Raw genomic sequence first — 22,850 nt, 5'->3', positions numbered from 1 at the left:
ACATGAGTTATATTGTTTTGATTTTTAGCTCCGACAAATAAGTGAGAACATGGAAAGTTTGTTTTTCTGTGCCTGGCTTATTTCACTTAATCTATGGTTCCATCAATGTTGTTGCAAATAATAGGATCTTATTTTTTATGGCTAAATAGTATTCCATTGTGTATATGTGCCATGTTTTCTTTATCCAGTCATTTCTTGATGGACATCAGGTTACTTCCAAATATTGGCTGGAGCACACTGCTGTAACAAACATGGGAGGGTAGATATCTCTTCAATGTATGGATTTCCTTTCTAGTAAGTGAATCCTCAGGAGTGGCATTCCTGAATTATATGGTAGCTTTATTTTTAGTTGTTTTGAAGAATTTTCAAAATGTTACATTCCTGTCAACAGCATACAAGGGCTCCCTTTCTCCACTTCTCTCCAGCATTTGTTACTGCCTACCTTTTGGATATAAGCCATTTAACTGAGTCACGTAATATCTCATTGTAGTTTTGATTTGCATTTGTCTGATGATCAAAAATGTTGAGCACCTTTTCGTATGCCTGTCTGCCCTTTGTACGTCTTATGAAAAATGCCTATTCAAATATTTTGTTTATTGTTTATCAGATTATTAAATTTTGTACATTGAAAGATTTTACTGTGAATAGTTGACGAAAATTGGTTAAGTCCATTAAGACATGCTTCCTGCCCCTCACAACTCACCCACGCTGTTCTAGTCTCTCCGTAAGTGTCAATTCTGAAGGCCACAACTTCCATAACTTCCATATCTTCTCAGTATTACATTTCAAGATGAATATATTGTGCTTTACTCTGGCAACATGTCTTCCATAAAATGAGAATACACATCTGGGAAAAGGGAAAATAAATTACCTCACTTATTAGATTCAGGTGAGTACGTGTTAGAAACCTAATGTATAAAGTTATGTCAAGCACATTAGCAAAATGACACAATAAAAATCATAGGCCCTAATTTCTTCATATACATATACACTTAACAAAAATATCCTGAACAAAATTCCATTGTGATAAGTTTAAAAATCAAGAGTTTGCAGCACCCCAGGCAAGCAGAATGCCAAAAGCCAAATAGTAGAGGAAGGAAAATTTGTTGCATTTACCCACCACAGCCCTTCTTCCTCTCCAATGCAGCATGATGCTTATAGAAGTAAACTTCTGACTTCTTTCTGAAGAAAGAAAATAAACACACAATCCCAGAGTAGACACAGCCTGAGAACAGGCTTTAGAAACCTCCAGAATCTCTAGCCTGGTCAATTGGTGTCAGACTCCAAACCACTTTATAAAGACTGTGACAGCTTTCTGTTAATGCTCAAATCACAATGAAAGATGACAACAGAGTACCAGAGTAACATGGCCAAAAAAACACAATAAATTTCCAGATATGAACCCTAAAAAATTGAGATATACAAATTACTTGAAAATATTCAAAATAACCATCTAAATGATGCTCAGTGTATGAAATGGGAACATAGACAACTGAATGAAAGCAGCAAAATGAGAATATCACAAAAAATTATAAAAACCTTCAAAAATTATGGAGCTGAAGACTACAGTAAGTCATAAAGACAGAAATTCTCAAACAAAATACTTGTAAAATATCAAGAAGCTTAAATTACTTTGGCTAAGATAAACACAAAGTTACTCATAACAAGACAGATTATAAGCAAAATTTTAAAAGTCGTAGGCAAAAGGAATCTTGGAAGCAAGCAGTAAGATAAACCTGTTGTGTCATCTATAGCATGCTTCATTGAGATTTGCAGTGGATTTATCAACACAGTCCTTGCAGGCCAGAAAAAAAGTTAAGTGATATAGTCAAAGTGCTGAAACAAAAACTTTCAAAGCAAGAATACTATAACTAGGAAAATTCTTCAAAAAAAATTCCAAAGTAACAAAATGCAGTAAAAGTACATCACTAGTATATCTGCCTTACTGAAAATGCTTAGGGGTGTCTCTTCCACTGAAAATAAAATTCTAGAAAAAACCTACATTATATAAAAAACATATAACTCTCTAATAAAGACATGCACATAACAGGAAATTGTATTAAAATTATAATATAGAAAACAATTCTATTTTCAAAATTTGATAGACAAAAACATGAAAGTAGTTATAAACACAATATGACAATATAATTTGTGACTTACAAAGTTGAGAGCAGACATACTGAAAAAAACTATGCATCTGAATATCTTACCAATTCAAAATATATTGTAATTTTAAGAAGATTTTTGTAATCTTCATGATAACCACAAATATTAGAGAAATACAACATAGAAATTGAGAAAGAAATCAGACCATATCACCAGAGAAATCAGTGAGACAGCAAGAAAGATGAAAAAGGAACAAAATGGCTACAATAATAAAACAATGATTAATATAATAATAGTAAGTTCCATTTCAGAATACTTTAAAAATATTAATGGACTAACTTTCCCAATCAAAAGACATATTTCATGAAGAGATTCTAAAAATTGTATTAACAGCATCAACTATATTCTGTGTACAAGAGAATCACTGGATCCAATCACAAAGATAGACTAAAAGCAGGATGGAAAAAGATATTCCATGCAAATGTTAGCCAAATGAGAGCAGAAGTAGTCACTGTGACAAAAGACTTTAAGTCAATCATTATCATATTTTATAAAATTTAATTCAAAACTACAGGATAAAAAAGACATTAAATAATACAAAGGTTCATTCATTGGAAACCTATAAAAATTGTATATGTTGTTTGTGTGTGGATTCCTGTGTGTGTGCTTATACCTGTATCTACATCTACATCACACATCAGGGTTTCCAGTTATACATCTATATCATACATCAGGGTTTCCAGTTTATAAAGCAAACATTGATGACATTGAAGCAAGAAATACACAGTGAACAGAAGACTTGAATACACTATAAAAATCAAATTCAACATGCGTAGAGAACACCTCATCCAACAAAATACACAATGTTTTCAATATTTCAGAAAATATTCTTGATAGAAGACGTTAGGCCATGAAACAAGTCTTAACACCTTTTTTTAAATTGAAATATTACTGCTTATTCTTTATAACCAAAATTGAATAAAATAGAAAATGAAACATTCACAAATATATGGGAGTTAAACAATACACCCTCGAACATGCTTTTCTTCAAGGGTGGGAATACTTAATATTATGAAGATGTCCAGACTACATAAAGTGGTCTACAGATTCAATACAGTCCTTTCCAAATTCTCAGTTTATTTTTGCAGAAATAAAAAAGCAACCCCAGAATTATACAGACTACAAAGAGACCAAGAAGACTCAACAATCTTGAAATATCAAGAACAATATCGGGGGTGTCACACCTCCTGATTTTGGAATACATTGTGAAGCTACAGTAGCTAAAGGAATTTGGTGCTGGCATAAATGCACACAACAAGAACAATAAAACAATAGAAAACTTAGAAATACAGCTACACATGTGTGGTCAAATGAGTTGTTTGCACACCCATGCAGCATTATTGACAAAAGCTGATAGGCTAAAGCAGCTTCAACTTTCTTAAATGAATAAATAAAATTTGGAATATAAAAATAGAATATTGCTCAGCTTTGCAAAATCAGCATATGTAACATATAAAATCAAAATCTTAACATGCTAAATAAAGGCAGTCACAACAAGACAGGTTGTCTGAATACACTTATATGGGATATCTAGAAACAAAAAATAATACTATATTTGACGGGCTGGGCGCGGTGGCTCACGCCTGTAATCCCAGCACTTTGGGAGGCTGAGGCAGGCCAATCACCTGAGGTCAGGAGTTCAAGACCCAGGCCTGGCCAACATGGTGAAACCCTGTCTACTAAAAATTTAAAAATTAGCTGGGCATGGTGGTGCACGCCTGAAATCCCAGCTACTTGGGAGGCTATGGCAGGAGAATCGCTTGAACCTGGGAGGCAGAGGTTGCAGTGAGCCGAGATCATACCACTGCACTCCAGCCTGACAACAGAGCCAGACTCCGTCGAAAAAAAAAAAAAAAAATCAGCCCAGAGGAGAAATACACAAGATGAACCATAAACAAAGTTGGTGTTATATTTATAGAGACAACCATGCACATACATATGTATAATTTAACAGTGATAGACAGCTGGTTAATTCATCTTTGAATTAAACCCCACCTTGATTTAAAGTATATATACAGAGTTGCAAATTGTCATTCAAAATTATAATACATAGGTAAAACAGAAACACAATAAACTGCCTATAAATGTATCCTTACTAAAAACACAGTAATTAGGAATTGCAAGACAAGATAAACATTTACCTATAAAATTCTGTATGCAACATTGATATATCATTATAACACCTTTTTCTAGGTAACTACCGAGTTCACCTGTGATTGTGCACCTATGGAGCGCACATACTTGGAATCATTGATGTCTACTGTATGGCAGTAAAATTTTACAGAAAATGCACTACAGACATTAAGAAAATGCTCTAGTAAAATTTTTTTAATGATTATGTAAAGACAGTAAAGATAATGTGTTACTATTAATATATTGATGCTATTTTCACAGAAAATAAAAAGGCTGCAATTCACTCTTTAGAAGCAAAGAAAAGCATTAGACTTTGAAATAAAGTAAAACCATGTATGTTGTAAAATATGAGTTATATACAATGCAAATATTTTGAAATAATTTTTTGTAATTTATCATTTAGATATAGGTTGAGAAAACAAAAATGTTAATGATTCCTATATGATTTCAGTTAACTGTAACGTACAAATGAACATTTTAATAAATAGGGAGTGCCTGTCTGATTTACTTCTTACATGGTGTGGAAATTATAGCATATTGTTCTGAATGAATCTAAAATAACAGACAAATTTGTAATACAGCAAAATACAAAGTGAAACCATATAAGGAGAGTGACATCAGCAAGGATGTTGGAATAAGGGGATCACTCTTGTTTATCTTCCCACAGCTACAATACTTTTGCAGCCATCCATGGACAAAAGTGCCTTTATGGGAGCTTTGGGATTAGAGAGGGCATTATGATACCCTGTGAAAAACAAAGACTGAGGAGGGCTGTTTTGGGAAGGCAGGCCCTCATTCAGGGGGCAAATCTGAGAACCCCTGATCTTGTCTACAGACTAGGAATTGACCCATCCTACTCAGTCACACTGAGAATCCTGAAGTGACTCTGTAACCATCTCCAATGCCTCCCAGTTATGGTCTGGAATTAGTCCTTCCCATACAGAGAACTGGGGAGAGACATTCATGATAATGGAGGCAGACCTACAGAATTTAACCTTTCACCTTTACTGTGGCCTCTGAAGCAGGTCTGTGACTCAGTTTCAGCCCTCTTCACCATAGTTTATAGACAGTTCTGCCCACCTAGAGACCCACAAAGGGAGAGAAAACCCTCTCAGGTACTCAGCAGAAGTCACACTTCATCCACACACCTACTATCAGGGCCGCCATATGCAAACCCAGCTTCAGAACCCTGGCCCTGGCATCTGCCCTACAGATCAAAGTTCTGAAAGCAGTTGAGTCTGCTCGAAATAAGAGGAGTCACAATGAAGCCACCTTGTGCCCAATTTTAATGCTTCTATTTTAACATACTAGTAGTCCTAAGTAGAACAATTTGGGGAAAAATATTTTAAAGCCATCTAAATTGAAAAAATGTCACTTTTTGTAGATGACATGATCTTATATACAAAAACCATAAATAGTACACCAAAAACCTATTTAAACTAATAAATGCACTCAATGAATTTTCAGAATATAAAAACAGCATACAAATCTCAATTGTGTTTTTATACCCTAACAACAAACTATCCAATTAAAAGGAAGAAAATGATTTCATTTAAAATAAAATAAAAAACAATAAATTTCTTAGGAACAAATTTAACAACTAAGGTGAAAGATCTTTATGCTGAAAAATAAAATATTGATAAAGGAAACTGGAGAAGACAAAAAATGTAAAGCTATCATAGATTGGAGGAGTAAATATTGTTAAAATTCTACATTATCCAAAATGATCTATAGATTTAATAAACTCCCTATAAAAATTCCAATAACTTGTTTCACAGTAATAGAAAATACAAGCTTAAAATTTATGTGAAATTACAACAGACTTTGAATAGCTAAAGCAATCTTGAGGAAGAAGAAAGCTAAGGATATTATAGTTTCTGATCTTTTTTTTTTTTTTTTTTGAGATGGAGTCTCACTCTGTCACCCAGGTTGGAGTGCAATGGTACGATCTCAGCTCACTGCAACCTCTGCCTCCCAGGTTCAAGTGATTTTCCTACATCAGTCTCCTGAGTAGCTGGGAATACAGGTGCTCGCCACCATGCCCGGCTAATTTTTATATTTTTAGTAGAGACGAGATTTCACCATGTTGGTCAGGCTGGTCTCTAACTCCTGACCTCATGATCCACCCACCTCGGCCTCCCAAAGTACTGGGATTACAGGTGTGTGAGCCACCGCACCCGCCCCTATAGTTTCTGATTTTAAATTATATTCAATACTATAGTAATAAAAACAAGACAGCATGTGCATAAAAATGAACACGAAAACCTACAGAACAAAGTAGAGAGCCTAGAAAAAAAAACCTATGCCTATAAAATCAATTAATCTTGAACAAGGATATTGAAAATGCACAATGCAGTAAGTGAAATCCCTTTATTATTTGGAGCTAAGAAAATTGGGTATCCACAAGCAAAAGAATAAAATTAGATGATTTTTCTTACATCATATCCCAAAATTAACTCAAAATAAGGACAAATAAAACACATGAATTCTTAAAAATCCTAAAAGAAAACAAAATGTGGTCAACCTCCTTTATATTGGTCTTGACAGTATTTTTTTGGATCTGACACAAAAAGTGCGCCACAAAGGCAAATATAAAAAAGTTGGACTACATCAAACTAAAAAACTTATAAACAGAAAACAATAAGAAAACTTACAGGTTGGGAGAAAATATTTGCAAACCACTGTTAAGTGGTTAATATCCAAAATATGTAAGGAACTCATACAAATAAAAAACCAAAACAACAATAATAATGACAGTAATGATAACATGATTAAAAGACAGGTAAAGAAATATTTTTTTAGTGAAGACGTAAACTAAGAGTATTTGAAAAGCTGCTCAACATCTTCAATCATGAAGCAAATACAAATAGAAACAATGATGACATATCATTTCACACTTGTTAGGATGGCTAATATCAAAATTCAGAGACATGTATGTTATTCTGATGATGGATACCCTAAAAGCCCTGACTTCACCACCATGCAGTCTATCCATGTCACAGCCCTTGAACTGGGACACATTTACCTGAAAACCAGCCATTTCATCTTCTTTCTCTTTCTTCTCTGAGTTTTTGTCAGGTGAGATTCTCTGGACAAGTCATGGCTGTATGTTGATAATATGCCTTAAAAAGCATCAGTACAACCCCTTTACTTGCTACGACTACAGCTACAGGGAGAAGGAACTAGAAGTGCAAAAAAGTCCACTCTTCCCTGTCCTTTATCCCAGGAGAGAGTCAGGAACAATGAGCTCCTACATAAAGATCAAAATGTGTTTCTCATTTCCTGCTTTCAAGTGTCCTCTCCTATCAAAGACTCAAGCAACTTTTGCTGCAGCAACTGGACTATGGGCTGCACTAACCACCGTATCAAATCCAAGCAGAGCAGATCCTGTGACCTGGAGAAAGGAGCCGGCTGTCCTTCCCTGCTGTAACCTAGAGAAAGGAAGCTGGCTGTCCTTCCCTGGCACAGCTGCATGCAAGGAATTTTCCACCACGCTCACCGGGCAGTAAGTTGAAACATAAAAAGATTAACAAGTTGGCTTATTTTTACTTCTACTCAGAGTGCAGAGTCATCGTAATTTATTGTTTTCTATGTCTCAAATACTCTGCTTTATTTTATTTTATTTTATTTTATTTTATTTTATTTTATTTTTGAGATGGAGTCTCGTTCTGTTGCCAGGCTGGAGTGCAATGGTGCAATCTCAGCTCACTGCAGCCTCCGCCTCCCGGGTTCAAGCAATTCTGCCTCAGCCTCCCGAGTAGCTGGGACTACAGGCGCACGCCAGCACGTCCAGCTAATTTTGGCATTTTTAGTAGAGATGGGGTTTCAACATGTTGGCCAGGATGGTCTCGATCTCTTGATCTCGTAATCCGCCGCCTTGGCCTCCCAAAGTGCTGGGATTACAGGCGTGAGCACTGCGCCCAACCTGTTTTATTTTTTAGTATGTTATCAAATGAAACATTAGTCCAATTATTAAAATAAATGCTTTAGTTGTCTGAGCAACTGTATTTTGTATCTGTCAAATCCACAAGCCTAACAATTTTACCTTTCTGAAATATCTACCACGTGTTCAAAGTCAGCACGCTACTCCTAGTTCTGCAAGGCACTGAAAGTACATAGAAAGAAAGAGGGGGGAAGCACATTTAAGAAACAGGTTTTCTGCAGGATCACAAGGGTATAACAATTGCCTATAACGGTGTGGCTACTTTCTCCGCATTCAGTCCCCGTGACGAAATAACTACTGCATTTGTGGAAGTCTCTAGGCTGGGTGCTGGACCCTAATTAATGCATTTGAAATCCAGGCCTACACTGTCCCTGGGCTCAGCGACTAACCTTAGTAGAAGCACACATTTCTCAATATGCACATAAGGCAAATAGGTGCTCACGGCAGCCAAACAGAATGCTTTGAAAAGCATTTTCCCAATGAGCCCCCCCGCCAGCCCAAACCCCCGCAAACTCCGGAATTAGGAGACATAACAGGTACTTCCACCTCAGAAGCCAAAGCCCTCTGCGACTCCTGCCAAGAAGGGCAGGTTGCCATGCGTGGGTCGGCTGGGCGCGTCCTGGGGCTGGTCTGCCTGACCCGGACAAAACCAGGCGGCGAGCACGCAGCGCTGCATGCGGGAAACCGGAGCTGCGCCTCCTGCCGCCCCTCAGTCGCTAGGCAGGAACCCCAGGAGAGGCTACGGTCCCCTGACCTCCACAGAGGCTCGCCAGGGCCGGCGCGCAGGGGCAGGTGGGCGCGGGGGCTCCTGCGGCGCCGCAGCCTGGGCCTCCCCTGGCACCCGTGGTCGGCCATCCGCCGCGTCCGCAGCGGCGCGCCGAGCCTCTCCAGTTCGCTGGCCCTCCCCGGCTCGCTCCCGGCTTTCGCAGACCTCCCCCGCTCCTGCCGTGAGTCCGAGCAGAGCGCAACGCCAGCCGGCGCCTTCCTCCTGTGCTGGGAGCGAGTGGTGCAGCAGCGGCTCGAAGTCCCCCGGCCTCAAGCAGCCCCCGCGACTAGCGCGACACCCTCGCGGGATCCGAGTCCACCCTGCCACCAGCGCCGGGACGCCGCGTGCCTCAGAGCCCAAGGGCTGACCCGGGCCTTCCAGGTGGTCCATCTCGCTCCTACGGCTCCCGACAGTGGCGCTGGGTGTCCCCCATCCCGCAATTCCTACCGGCTGACCCATGTGCGCTGCGCCCAGGTACCCCGCCGGGCAGGGCTGAGCAGCCCGGACCCCGCGCTCTCCTGCGCCCAGATTCAGCGCTGCAGTCGCCAGGGAAAGTTTGCGCTCCGGACTGGCCGCGGCGCCCCGCCTGCTCTGCACCTCTCCTGGCCCACCACGCAGCCCGCGATTCGGGATCCCAGAGGAGAGGGGTGCGGGCTGAGCCGGGGCCACGAGTCCTCTCCCGCGCTCCCGCCCTTTTACCTCACTGTCCCGCCGGGCGCACGCAGAGCTCACCTTGCGTGCCGGCCGGTGGAGGCGAGCCATAGGTGACGGTGCATCCTCCTTCTCCGCCTGCTCTCGCCCGGCTGGCAGGGGCTGGAGGCTGCCAGCGCCAACCTTCCCGGCGCTCCGGGGCGGAGCAGCTCCTGCGCCCTGCGCTACCGCAGCGGCCCTTCAGTCAGCTCCGCGCCGTCCCCAGCAGAGCCCCCGGCGCACCAGCGCCTGCTTTTCCTTCCCCGAGCGCCTCAAGCAGTCTCTGGGCCGCAGGAACAGCCCTCTGAAGAGGCGCTTGGGTAGAGGCCACCAGACACTCAGCAAACGCGCCCTCGGCCCCGCTCGGCTGAGCGGGAGGGCGCAGGGCCCGCGGCTGGACCTGCAAGGGGAGTTCCGGTTCTGCTGAAGTTTCTTTAGGGCCTTCAGCAGCGTCTTCGGCGCCTCCTGTAGTCGCCGCTGTCCTCTTGTAGTGCAGGGATGGGAGGGCAGGGTCAGGAGCCCGGCAACAGAGGCCAGTTTCAAGAGCTTTGCTCCCCTAGGGCCGGCCCCCCCTCCCTGCCCAGGCCTGGGTCCCTCCCGGGTGCTCTGAGGCACCCCCGGACATGCGCATGTCTTAGTCGCTCCTGAAAGAAATTGGCTTGTTGTGGGCACTCTTTTCATCTCATTCATAGACAGGAGTGCATTGCTGCCGGACGGAAAGCCAGGGTCACATGGGACTCCATTAGAATGAAACCCTTACCTAATGCAGTATATATTTGGGGGTTTTCTGAAGTTCCATTTCTTAGCAAGAAGCCTCGGTGACAACGGGAAAGGGCCAGGGGCCAGGGGCCGCAGGTCCGAGAGCAGGTCTGGGGTGGCGCATCTGGGGTGGCGGGGCGGGATTTCCCTAGCAGGGCTTCCACGCCACGTTGGGCACTGCCTCATTAGCCACGCACATGGGGTCTTACTATGGTCATTACATAGGTGTCTTGTCCGTCCGAGTGATGCAGTTCCTGGGAGGTGAGGGTGGCGTTAATGACAGCTGGGTGGCAGCAGGGCCCCTTCAAACAACACAAGCAAGATGGGGCCAAAGCAGCACAGCCCATCGTCTCGGGGTTTCGGGGTCTTGCTTCCTCAGGAGGTGGGGGCCTCTCGACTGTAACACCCAGTGGAAAACGTTCAAGACTTACAGGAAAGCCACCAGAACATGATGGGGAGGTTTATTTACACCACTGTCCCCTTCCTTTTGTGAAACTGCATTGTTTATATTCTCTTTTAACAGAGTCATGGTAAGAAAAGGCAAATTCTTAACTCTCCTCCAGGAAAGATCTTTGACCTTCCAGTGTAGGAAGCCTCTCAGTTTTCCAGTTACACCTAATACAGTGTATTCCAAATCTAAGTTACCCACTAGTACTTCGGCACATTCCAGAAATTCTGAAATTTTCTGAAAAGGAAACTGGTAAGTCTATTCCAGGAGCGGGACATAAGTGTATAAATGTGCAAATATACAGGAAGCATTACTCTGAATACGCGTTTAGCCACATTATTAAATAACTGTTTCCAGTGGTTCTTCACAATATATGAATAAGATGCTCATTTGAAAGACTTTTTAAATTCTAAAATGGATCATTGAACACGTGCATTTCTTCATTTTCTAATCTCTCAAAAGATGTATCACTAAGGTGAAATTCCTTGGTAGTCATTAAATTTTAAAAAGTTAACAACATGGTTTTATGATCAGCCTACTATAATTTTCACCTATTAGGTGGTGGAATTCTAGGCTTAGAATTACCAGCGACAGCTGCTCGCCTCTCAGGATTAAACAGCATAATGCAAATCAAAGAGTTTGAAGAATTGGTAAAACTTCACAGCTTGTCACACAAAGTCATTCAGTGTGTGTTTGCAAAGAAAAAAAATGTAGACAAATGGGATGACTTTTGTCTTAGTGAGGGTTATGGACATTCATTCTTAATAATGAAAGAAATGTCGACTGTGAGTATGTTCTTTTGGTGGATTATGTTTAAAACTTCCATGTTTTTTGGTACACTTTCTATCAGTTTTATGTCAACACAACACATATCATCTTGGTAAGAATTTCATTTTCAGTGTCAGAGCCTAAAATAGCTGGAGGTGGAGAAGCATGAGTGGAACATGTGCCAGAGAGCGCCCACCCTGTCCCCCAGTCAGGGGCAGGAACTGAGATGGGTGGGTGTGTTTGCATGGGTGGGTGTGGCAGAGGTGGCTGAAACGTGAATGCAGTGTCATCCTATAAGTGAGACAATGTGTTATTCGTCTTTCTGTGCTTGGCTTATTTCACCAAGCATGTTCTCCAAGTCCATCCATGCTGTCAAAAATGGCAGGATTTTTTTATTCATTAATGCTAAATAATATCCCACTGTGTGTGTGTGTGTGTGTGTGTGTGTGTGTATTTTTTTTCATTTCTTTATCCATTTATCCATTGACAGACATTTAGGTTGTTTCTATTACTTGGCTATTGTTAAAAATGCCCAAATGGACATAACAGTGCAGGTATGTTTTCCAGATATTGATTTTATTTCCTTTGGCTATATCCCCAAAGAAATGGGATTGCTGGGTATAGAGTGGTTGCCAGGGGCTGGGGGAAGGAGAGATGGGCAGATGTTGGTCAAAGGGTATAAAATTTCAGTTATGCAAGATGAATAAGTTCTGGAGATCTACTGTTCAACATTGTGAATATAGCTAACAACACTGCGATGTATACTTGACATTTGCTGAGGAGGTAGATCTTATTGTTCTCACCACACACATGAAAGAGGGCAGCTCTGCGAGGTGATGGGAATGTGAATGAGTTTGATTTTGATGGCAAAGTATACATATATTAGTCATCAAACTGAACACCTTAGAAACCAGATTTTACATCAATGAATGGTTGAATGAATAGATCTGCACTTCTGGATTTCTTTAAAAATGGGAAGACACTCCATAGCTTTAGCAACGCTGGGCACCCACCCATTCCCACCCTCCTGCACCGCCTGCATTCCACAGATACCTGACATGGGTCCTTAGAGGAACGTGATCTATCCTTTTTCACACTTTGCCTCCTTTGTGTAATTAGGAAAATCGAGGCAAATGGGGCTTTTTAAAGGATTTTAATTTTTTTCTAATTTCATTGTATCTATTTTGTCTTCACTAGTGGCTTATTTACTGTATCTGTATTTTACCTTATTTTATTTTGTGATGGCTCTAGGGTTACAGCCAGCATCTTTAACTTAGTATAGCCTACCTTTATTTTGTTTATTTATTTATTTATTTATTTTTGAGAAAGAGTCTTGCTCTGTCACCCAGGCTGGAGTGCAGTGGTGCGATCTCGGCTCACTGCAAGCTCCGCCTGCTGAGTTCAAGCCATTCTCCCCCTCAGCCTCCCCAGTAGCTGGGACTACAGGCACTCACCACCATGCCCAGCTAATTTATTTTATTTTATTTTATTTTATTTTTATTTTTATTTTTATTTTTATTTTTAGTAGAGTTGGGTTTCACCGTGTTAGCCAGGACGGTCTCGATCTCCTGACCTCATGATCCACCCGCCTCAGCCTCCCAAATTGCTGGGATTACAGGCACTAGCCACTGCACCTGGCTGAGGACATGTCTTTGAAAAGGTAGCATAACTCCTATTTCTAGCTGCTCTTGCAACTAAAAGTGGCTGTGTACAGAATAACTCTATTCCTCTATATCCAGTTTGGACAAACCAACTTTCCATTGATTTAAGCACACTTTCAGAATAAAGCGTAATTTCTTATCTCAGGAATTCCAAAGTCTAATGGAAGAAGCAAGCTTATACTGAATAATTTAGCAAAGCAGATTGTGCTTGGCAATAATAAAGTAATTCAATATCTGAAACATAAGAAAAGAAGGAAATATCTGTTTCATAGTTGTAATTAATTAGAACTTTACCATGCAGAATAGGTAGAGAGGCATTCCTCAAAAGATTAAGAGAGGTATAAAGTAAATGTAAATGTCAACCATAGGGGTTTTCTTAGGCAGAGAATCATGCTTTAGGGTAAATGAAGGTGATGCTGGTATTCAGGTTCCTTTGGAGAAGGCAACAATAAAAGTAGAGTTATCATTTATGAGATCCAAGAAGCCCAAGAAAAGATAATAAGAGCCCAAGCCACAGCAGGCTCAGCCTTTTTTTCCTAAATAAAAAGGAACGAATAGCTAAATGTGACAAAAGTCAAGGTATCTTTTAAGAAAGTTACACTTCCTCTGAACCACAACAGAAATCAAAGATAGTCACCCTACAGCACTCCTTGCCTCTCTTCCAAGGATACAGCTATGTATTGTTTTTTAAAAAAGGTAAAGGTAAAGAGACATGGTCACTTGACCATGTCTCTATCCAAGGTGAATTTCTCCAAAAGCACAACTTTGGGACACTTGTATGAGATATAGTTTAAACCCCACTGAATTTGATTTCTCACCCTCCCAGACACTTACCTTTATTATTTTCTCATATTTGTTTGCTTTTGTTTCCTTAATATAGTCTAGGAAATGTATCTGTGGGCTGTCCTACAGGAGAAGTTACAATGAATGGAAAAATGTGAAGAACCTTCTATTCTCCCAAGAGTATATGGCAAAGAGGGTGCAATTGCACCCAAAATATCAGTGTGGAAGGGTCACATAACTGATACTATAAAGTAACACATTGTCTTACAGAATTCTCATTCTTAGGCTAAAATATTATCTTCTTCATCAAACTTACTTGACTGCATGTTTGATGTTGTTTGAGTAAAATATAATACTCTTTTATTTCCCAAATGCACACACACACACACACACACACACACACACACACACACACACACACATATTATATTATGTTTTGGGAAATATATGTGCTATAGTATCTATATTTATTCACTTCTTAAATTTGAACTTAATTAAAATGACAAAATGAATTTGCTGAAAGGAGTTGGTAAAATGATCAGCTGTATTCAGTCACATAACTATTGTTTAGTCTTAGTAATGAAAATAGAAAAAAAAAACCAGCCAGGTGCAGTGGCTCACGCCTGTAATCCCAGCACTCTGGGAGGCCAAGGTGGGTGGATCGCCTGAGGTCGGGAGTTCGAGACCAGCCTGGCCAACATGGTGAAACCTCATCTCTACCAACAATACAAAAATTAGCTGGGCGTGGTGGCACGCACCTGTAACCAGCTACTTGAGAAGCTCAGGTAAGAGAATCTCTTGAACCTGGGAGGCGGTGCTTGCAGTAAGCCGAGATTGTGCTACTGCACTCCAGCCTGGGTGACAGAGTGAGACGCCACCTCAGTCAAAAAAAAAAAGAAAAATGAATATAGAAAAAAACGACAGACGCTAAAAGCTAAGAAAATAGTGTGTTCATTTTGGAATCTAATTCAAAATTCATTATAATGAATTTTAACGGGCCACCAAAGGTATGTGTTGAAGTTCACTGAATATTATTCAATGTTTGAGAATTACTGACAGCACATATATTTCATTTGTAGCAATGTTTGATTTGTTTTGCATCCATATATTTGCATTTATTTAAAACAAAAAACATCAAAGTATATTTCATCTGTTATTTGGAAAAAACATTGAGTAACTAATTGTCCAAATATAGCTATTTTCTAATTTTTAATTAAAAATGCTTCCTGTTTAAAAAAGTAACTTATTTCAAAATAACTGACATTTAATGTATTTACATTTTTTAAAGTGTTCACGCACATCTATTTAATTTCTAGATGTCTTGAAGGAATCGTCACTGTATCTGGAAGCCAGATGCCAAAGATGTTCAGTTATTATCAATGCATCTATGCATAAAGGATTGAAAATGATTCTTCATTCCATAATTTATCTAAATGTTCATTCCTTTGGAAAACTGTTTTCCACCAATAGTGACAAGACTTGGAACAAAATAAAATAGCAATATCATATGCATTTTCTATTTCTGCACTTTTCCACTTCTGGAAATAGTCATAGAATCATCTTGTGACAGATTAATATCATCCATGATCCTAAGCCACTAAGAATAAGTGTTAGATTCTTTGGGTTAAATTGCCATAAGGACTAAATTTATTTTTTTAACCAATTCCCTAAAGAATCAACTGATATTTCTGACATAGTTTTACAGCATATGTATCACCTCTCCATCCATTTTGCCTTAATTCTATTTCTTTTTATCCTTCACTGGTGAGGATGAGAAAACCTGGATGCATATGGGTATGGTTGATTTGAAAAGTACTTTTTAAACATTTGGAAGTTTTTCAAAACCAAAAACATATTTGCCAAGTGATCTTTTTCCCCTATATTTTAAATCCATGTGCAACTTAAAAGAAACTTAGACCATATGCTAGTTCAGATTCACTTATATTAAAATCATGAAAATTTTATTTAATAGCTCTTTGACACACAGGGAGTGTTTAAATTAAGCTTCTCTAAATTTTACATTTCTCAAAATACACTCTCTTTCCTATCTACCCTCAACTACTCCTCACTACTCTCCAAGAAAATATCAGGTTTAATTCAGGAGATGTAAGTTGGATGTTGTCAGTCCATCAACAATGATTAAGTAATTTAAAAAGCATTCTTTTCTTCACTTCTTCCCTAGATTTTTTGTTTCTTTGTTCGTTTAAATATCTCTGTGCAAGTTCTGAACAGTTTTATTTATATCAGGATCAATAATCTGAGGAATGAAATAAATTGTTGCATTTGTTGCAATAAATGAGTTTATGCTTCCTTTACAGAACATTAAGGACATGAACTTTTAAGAACATTTTAATGTTTCACTATAAATGATACTTGAGCCTTGCATTAGAATACATAAGGTAAACTTATATAAAGAAAAAATAAAAATCTTCTCCTTCTCATCTGCATTTGCAATCCCACATGCACTGAAGTAATCAATGTTAATGGTTTTCTGTCCATTCGGCCACACCTCTAATGGATGGAATTTATGTAGTGTAATTCTTTGTCAGGTACAACTACACATGAGTAAAACTAGGTGTGATTTAGAACTCAAGATTAGGATTTTTATCTAGTAGTGAAATGGGAAGGGAAAAGCAAAAGTAAAATATACATCAACTAATGGCAGAATGGTGTACAGAAGGGAGTCATCTGTATATATGACATCTGATGGCCCCGCCACTCAGCTAACCCATCCACACATGAAATAATAAGTAGACAAGTGCATTGAAAATTGTAAGTGTGACAGAAAGGTCACCACTTGATTGCTACTATTATATCGTTTTATTATTTTGTTCTCCCAACAATGTATAGCTCAAATTTATACTACAGGCTGTTCATATCCCTTAACAAAATATCCATTAATTTATGAATTTGATAAAATTCTAACTTACTGCAGTGCCCTACAAATAATAGTTTGGCCCATCTGTGGTGATGACTGTTCTGGAAGATCTTTCTGATGTTGAATAACTAATATTGTGTTTCAATGTTACTATTAGGTTGGTGCAAAAATAATTGCGATTTTTGCCATTAATCACAACTACATTTGCGCAAACCTAATAGTAATTTAACATTCTGTATCTAACATTTGTGGACACTGATCGAATATGCAATATTCTGGGGAGAAGTTGGTGGAAGAGATGTGTGTTGTTTTGTGAAAGATAGTATTCTGAGGGAAGGCAGAAAAGGGATATACATATAAGAAAATAGTGGATCTTGATCAGATGCACACTTGTTCCTATTTACAAGAAGTCTACTCTGTGTTACTGAACAAATCAACTTACATGAAGTCAACTAATTCCAAAGAATTTACCGTCTAGAGAAATTCACATTTGTAATAATAAATACTTTTCTTAATGACAGAAATTTTATAATATGTCTTTTTTACTTTATAGCTATAACCGTAGAGTTATAAAATCTAAATACAGACAAGCCTACCCAGTGTTTGATTATATTCAATGATGTTTAAAAGTAATGGCCTCTCTTTTGTTCTTACTGGGAAAATTATCATTAGCACAGTGCTTCATGCAGGCTCTTATTACTTCTATCTTCCATTGTTATGATTGGCAAAGCACAAAGCCATACTCAAATTGGAATGCTTGGGCACATTGCAGTATTTATCACAGGGTGGACTGGATACTGAGTTTCTTAATTTATAAATATTTCTTTCCAATGCAAAATTCATGAAGGCTTAATGTTGGGAAATGTCTGAATGGCTATAAATTCCCTTCCTAATTCCCTCCCCTCAATGCATACCCATTTTTTTTTGGCTCATTCTTAGAACTGTAGCTGTTCTTGAATCTTTGATGAGTTGAAGCTAATCCACATTCGGATTTTACAATCTCATATAATTGCCAAAATTCTACCCTTCAAAACACTTGTTTCTTTCTTTTTTTTCTCTTACATTTCCTCAAAGAAAATTAGTGAAAAAACAATTTTTTATTTGGTCTGAAACTTTATGGTGGAAATCTGAGGACAGGAAGAAATTTAGGGACTTGTTCATGCACTTTTGATTTGGCGAATGCCTGGAATATATTTTTTTCTCTCTGCACAATGCAAAGTAGTTGCACTCACAAAGTATCAATTAGAAAAAGAAATTCTTTCCACATTTCATCAGAGTTTTAAGTGGTTACACCACAATAATCCCCAGCTATTTGGGAAATGGTAAAAAAAAAAAAAAAACAACTTTGAAGATCAAGCCATCATTATTATTTTCACTAAAACCTAAAAATTCAGCCACAATATGTCAAACCAGTTGGGACAGGACTTCCTTCCACTAATTTAGTTTTTACTGCTGGATACCTGATGGGCTACTTACTATATCAGGTGTCTCATAGGGCAAATTGTACCTGGAGATAAAAAAAAGAAGAAAAAAACAGGCTCCAACCCCTAGCAGCAGAATACAGCAGAACATTTAGGTACCCACAGAACATAAACCAAAATGGACTGTATCCTGGATTTTAACAAACATTAAGAATTTTTTAAAAACTGAAATCCTGTAGAATGTATCCTCCAGCCAAAATGGCATCAAATTAAAAATAAAAAAGTAAAATAACAGCAGAATCTTAAATACTTGAAAAATAAACAGCATACTTTTTTAGTTCTTTTTTTTACATTTTTATTTATTTTAAGTTCTGGGGTAGGTGTGAAGGATGTGCAGGTTTGTTACATAGGTAAATTTGTGCCATGGTGGTTTTCCCTACCTATCAACCCATCACCTCGGTTTAAGCCCAGCATGCATTAGAGATTTTTCCCAATGCTCTCCCTCTCCCTCCCCCATCCACAGGCCCCAGTGTGTGTTGCTTACTTCCCTGTGTCCATGTGTTCTCATTGTTCAGCTCCTACTTATAAGTGAGAACATTAGATGTTTGGCTTTCTGTTTCTGCATTAGTTTCCTGAGGATAATGGCTTCCTGTTCCATCCATGTCCCTGCAATGAACATGATCTCCTTCATTTTTATGGGTGCATAGTATTCCATGTTGTATGGGTACTGCATTTTCTTCATCCAGTCTATTACCAATGGGCATTTAGGTTGATTCCATGTCTTTGCTATTGTGAATAGTGCTAAACAGCAAGCACACTTCTAAGGAGAACTTCTCAAGGGAAACAATTAAATATATTAAACTGAATAAAAATAAAAATACAACATATCAAACTTGATTTAACACAGTTGACGTCAGTGCTGAGAGGAAAATGTATTTCACTAAATATATATAATAGAAAAGTAGAAATCTCTCAAATAAAAATTCAAGCTATCACATCAAGAAAGTAGAAAATAGTAGCAAAATAAAATCAAAACAAATATAAGAAAGAATATAATAAGGATAAGAGCAGAAATAAATGAAACAGCCAAAAGAAAACAACAAAGAAAAGCAAAGAAATAAAGCTGGTTCTTTGAAAATATCTATAAAATTGACAAACCTTAACTAATAATGATAAAGAAAAAAGGGATGTCATAAATTACCAATTTCATGAATGAAATGGGCTAACATTAGCAGTAGAACTCAGCAATGTACACAAAGAATTACACAGCATGTCCCAGTGACGTTTACTCCAGTGACTGCACACCTAGACATTCATCCCACTGAAATAAAAACTTTTTTTTTGCACTTGCAATTGGCTTCCCCTCTGCTTTTGTTGGCAGGAGCAGGTCGGTGTCCCAGGCTTAGAATCCATTTTTCTCTCTCTCCGTCTGTCTCTCTGTCTCCGTCTCTGTCTTTGTCTCTGTCTCTCTCTCTCTCTCTTTCTTTTCTTTTTTTTTTTTTTTTTTTTTTTTTTTGAGACGGAGTCTCGCTCTGTCGCCCAGGCTGGAGTGCAGTGGTGCGATCTCGGGCTCACTGCAAGCTCCGCCTCCCAGGTTCACGCCATTCTCCTGCCTCCCGAGTAGCTGGGACTACAGGCGCCCACCACCATGCCCGCTAGTATTTTGTATTTTTAGTAGAGATGAGGTTTCACCGTGTTAGCCAGGATGGTCTTTATCTCCTGACCTTATGATCCACCCGCCTCAGCCTCCCAAAGTGCTGGGATTACACGCGTGAGCCACAGTGCCCGGCCAGAATGCATTTTTCCTCCCACACCAAAGCACCTGCAGTATGGGTGAAGCAGCCTGGAGCCTGGCTGCATAAGCCTGCACAGCAGGAGGGTCCCAGCAGGAGGGTAGAGGTGCCACTGCCTGGGTCCAGCTCACAGGCTGCCAGGGAGGCTCCGATCTGGCTCCCTGGTGCTGGCAGTGTCCTGTTCCCAGGATCTGCACGTGGGGGTGCCTTCCTGCATCTCCCCATCAGTGGTAGGTGCTCCTCCCAGCCCCCTCTTGCAGGCCTGGAGACAGCGGCCTGCACCTCAACCCTACTGCATGCCAGTGAAGCGAAGCACCCCGGGCCAGAAGCCCCACAGCTGTTGGCCCTGGTTTGGACACCAGGCAGGGGGCACCACAGCAGGAGCTAGCAGCCCAGCCCCGATTCTGTGGCCCCGAGTGCCCCGTTGCTGATGGCCCTGTGTTCTGGGTGCGGACCAAGGAGGAGCAGGTGTGGAAGGCGCCTCAGGCAGGCCCTGGGCTCCGTGGGCGTCTTGTGCTTGGAGATTTTGAGGCCATTTGCATCCAGCTCCGCCAACCAGAGCTCTAAGCTGCAGCGGCGGCCACCCGCAACAGCGCCACCACTAGTGTCTTGGGGGCTTTCTTCAGAGGAGGCTGTCAGCATCCTCGAGTTCCAGGCGCTCTAGCCCCAGTCCTGCTTCAAGAGGCTTTTTCCCACCACAGGCTTCTCTCCTCAGTGGCCAGAAAGCTGGGCCAACTCCCATGAACTTTGCCAGTAACGCAAGGCTGTCACTGACATTTGTGGCGCCAAGACTTGCGCACGCGGATTGCACACATCGGCCACTTCCTGGACCACGTGCAATGACACGCGCACGCCTCACGCACACGCCGCATAACGTCTGAGGCGCGCGCCCCGCACGCGCGCCCCGCACGCGCATAACGGCTTGGCTTACCTGTAACGGGTACGCTTCGCTTCGCGTTCCTCGCTTGGCCTTGCGTTCCTAGCTTGGCTTGGCTGTTAGTAGCTTTGCCTGGTGTTTCTTGCTTGGATTGGCGTTTCCTCCCTCGCATTCCTTTGCTGGACTTGACCTTTTCTCTGCTGGGTTTGGCATTCCCTTGACTGGGCTGGGTGTTTCCTTGGGAGGGGGGGCTTGGCCTTTCCTGGGGTGGGCGTGGGGTCCCCCTGGTGGGCGTGGGCTTTCCCCGGGTGGGTGTGGGTTTTCCCTGGGTGGGGTGGGCTGGGCTCCCTTGCTGGGGTTGGCAAGTTTTGGCTGGGATTGACCTTTCTCTTCAAACAGATTGGAAACCCAGGGTTTCCTGCTAGTTGGTGAAACTGGTTGGTAGACGCGATCTGTTCGCTACTACCGGCCTCCCCTGGCTGTTAAAAGCAGATGGTGGCTGAGGTTTGTTCAATGCCCGCTGCCTCTGCTGTGAAGAAGCCATTTGATCTCAGGAGCAAGATGGGCAAGTGGTGCCACCACCGCTTCCCCTGCTGCAGGGGGAGCGGCACGAGCAATGTGGGCACTTCTGGAGACCATGACGACTCCTTTATGAAGACACTCAGGAGCAAGATGGGCAAGTGGTGCTGTCACTGCTTCCCCTGCTGCAGGGGGAGCGGCAAGAGCAACGTGGGCACTTGGGGAGACTACGACGACAGCGCCTTCATGGAGCCGAGGTACCACGTCCGTCGAGAAGATCTGGACAAGCTCCACAGAGCTGCCTGGTGGGGTAAAGTCCCCAGAAAGGATCTCATCGTCATGCTCAGGGACACTGACATGAACAAGAGGGACAAGCAAAAGAGGTAACCGGGCCTGGGATGGGAGGAGGCGGGACATGGGGGGATGATGGGGACATACCCTCCTGGCGCAGGGAGGGAGGAGCCAGGCTTTCTCTTCCTCCGCAGGCCCCACACCACCCTGGGTGTGGAAACCTCAGAGATGTCAGGGCCCAGGTCCCTTTATAAACAGCAACACAAAAACAAAACTTTAGCTGATTTCCAATCCAATTATAATTTCCCTTATAGAACACTAATAGACGGTTTTAAAGTGATTTAACTCGCAAAATTAAGTCGATGCAGCAGATTATTTTTAATGTACACATTTTAAAACAATGTTCTATACACTATAGAAAGGTGTATATTGAGAACTAAGTCCCATAATATATCAACTTCTGGGCTAAATATTTTTCAAATAAAATCCAATATGGATTTTATATCGATGTGTACCCTATGTAAACACGTTCTTTACTGAGTAACCTTAAAAGGAAACTGAAATGGGAAGTATGGTTCATATCTTTGAATAGGAAGGTTCGTTTTTCTTAAGATGTGAGCTTTTTCTGTGTTTATCACTTTTACATAAGCCAAATAAAAATAGCAAAGTCTTAGTGTCTTTAAATTGCACATGATGTATTTTATCATTGTGATAAATTGATTTTTTGTAACAGAATGGAAAAAGACTTGCTTTTCCAGATATCAAAATGTGCGTGTGTTATTTCCACAAATTGTTTACTAACAGCTGAAAAGACATAAGTGAACAGAACAGAATAGGAAATCCAGAAATACCCAAATATATGTAAGAATTTAGCACTTGATAATGGTGATGTTTCATATTGGTAAAACAAGGTGAATTATTCATAAATTAAATGCATGCTGTTTGGAGAAAACT

The 22,850-nt window shown here is 40.7% G+C and overlaps 1 protein-coding gene across 5 annotated transcripts in view; it reads left to right on the top strand.

Annotated features, from left to right (window-relative positions):
* The first annotated feature begins 21,545 nt into the window (after positions 1-21,545).
* Positions 21,546-22,850, top strand: part of POTEB2 (POTE ankyrin domain family member B2) — a 30,943-nt gene continuing 29,638 nt past the window's right edge. For all 5 annotated transcript variants that reach the window (NR_102390.1, NM_001277303.1, XM_006720354.4 and 2 more), the window contains exon 1: positions 21,546-21,988. Coding sequence is in view for 4 of the 5 variants with exons in the window: in NM_001277303.1 (NP_001264232.1) it covers positions 21,579-21,988 (410 nt within the window). In the remaining variant the exon portion in view is untranslated. The remainder of the gene's footprint in view (positions 21,989-22,850) is intronic.

This window comes from Homo sapiens, chromosome 15 (genome assembly GCF_000001405.40).
Source record: "Homo sapiens chromosome 15, GRCh38.p14 Primary Assembly".
Classification (NCBI taxonomy): domain Eukaryota; kingdom Metazoa; phylum Chordata; class Mammalia; order Primates; family Hominidae; genus Homo; species Homo sapiens.
Note: the sequence above shows the minus strand (reverse complement) of the source record. Positions and strands in the feature narration are given on the sequence as shown.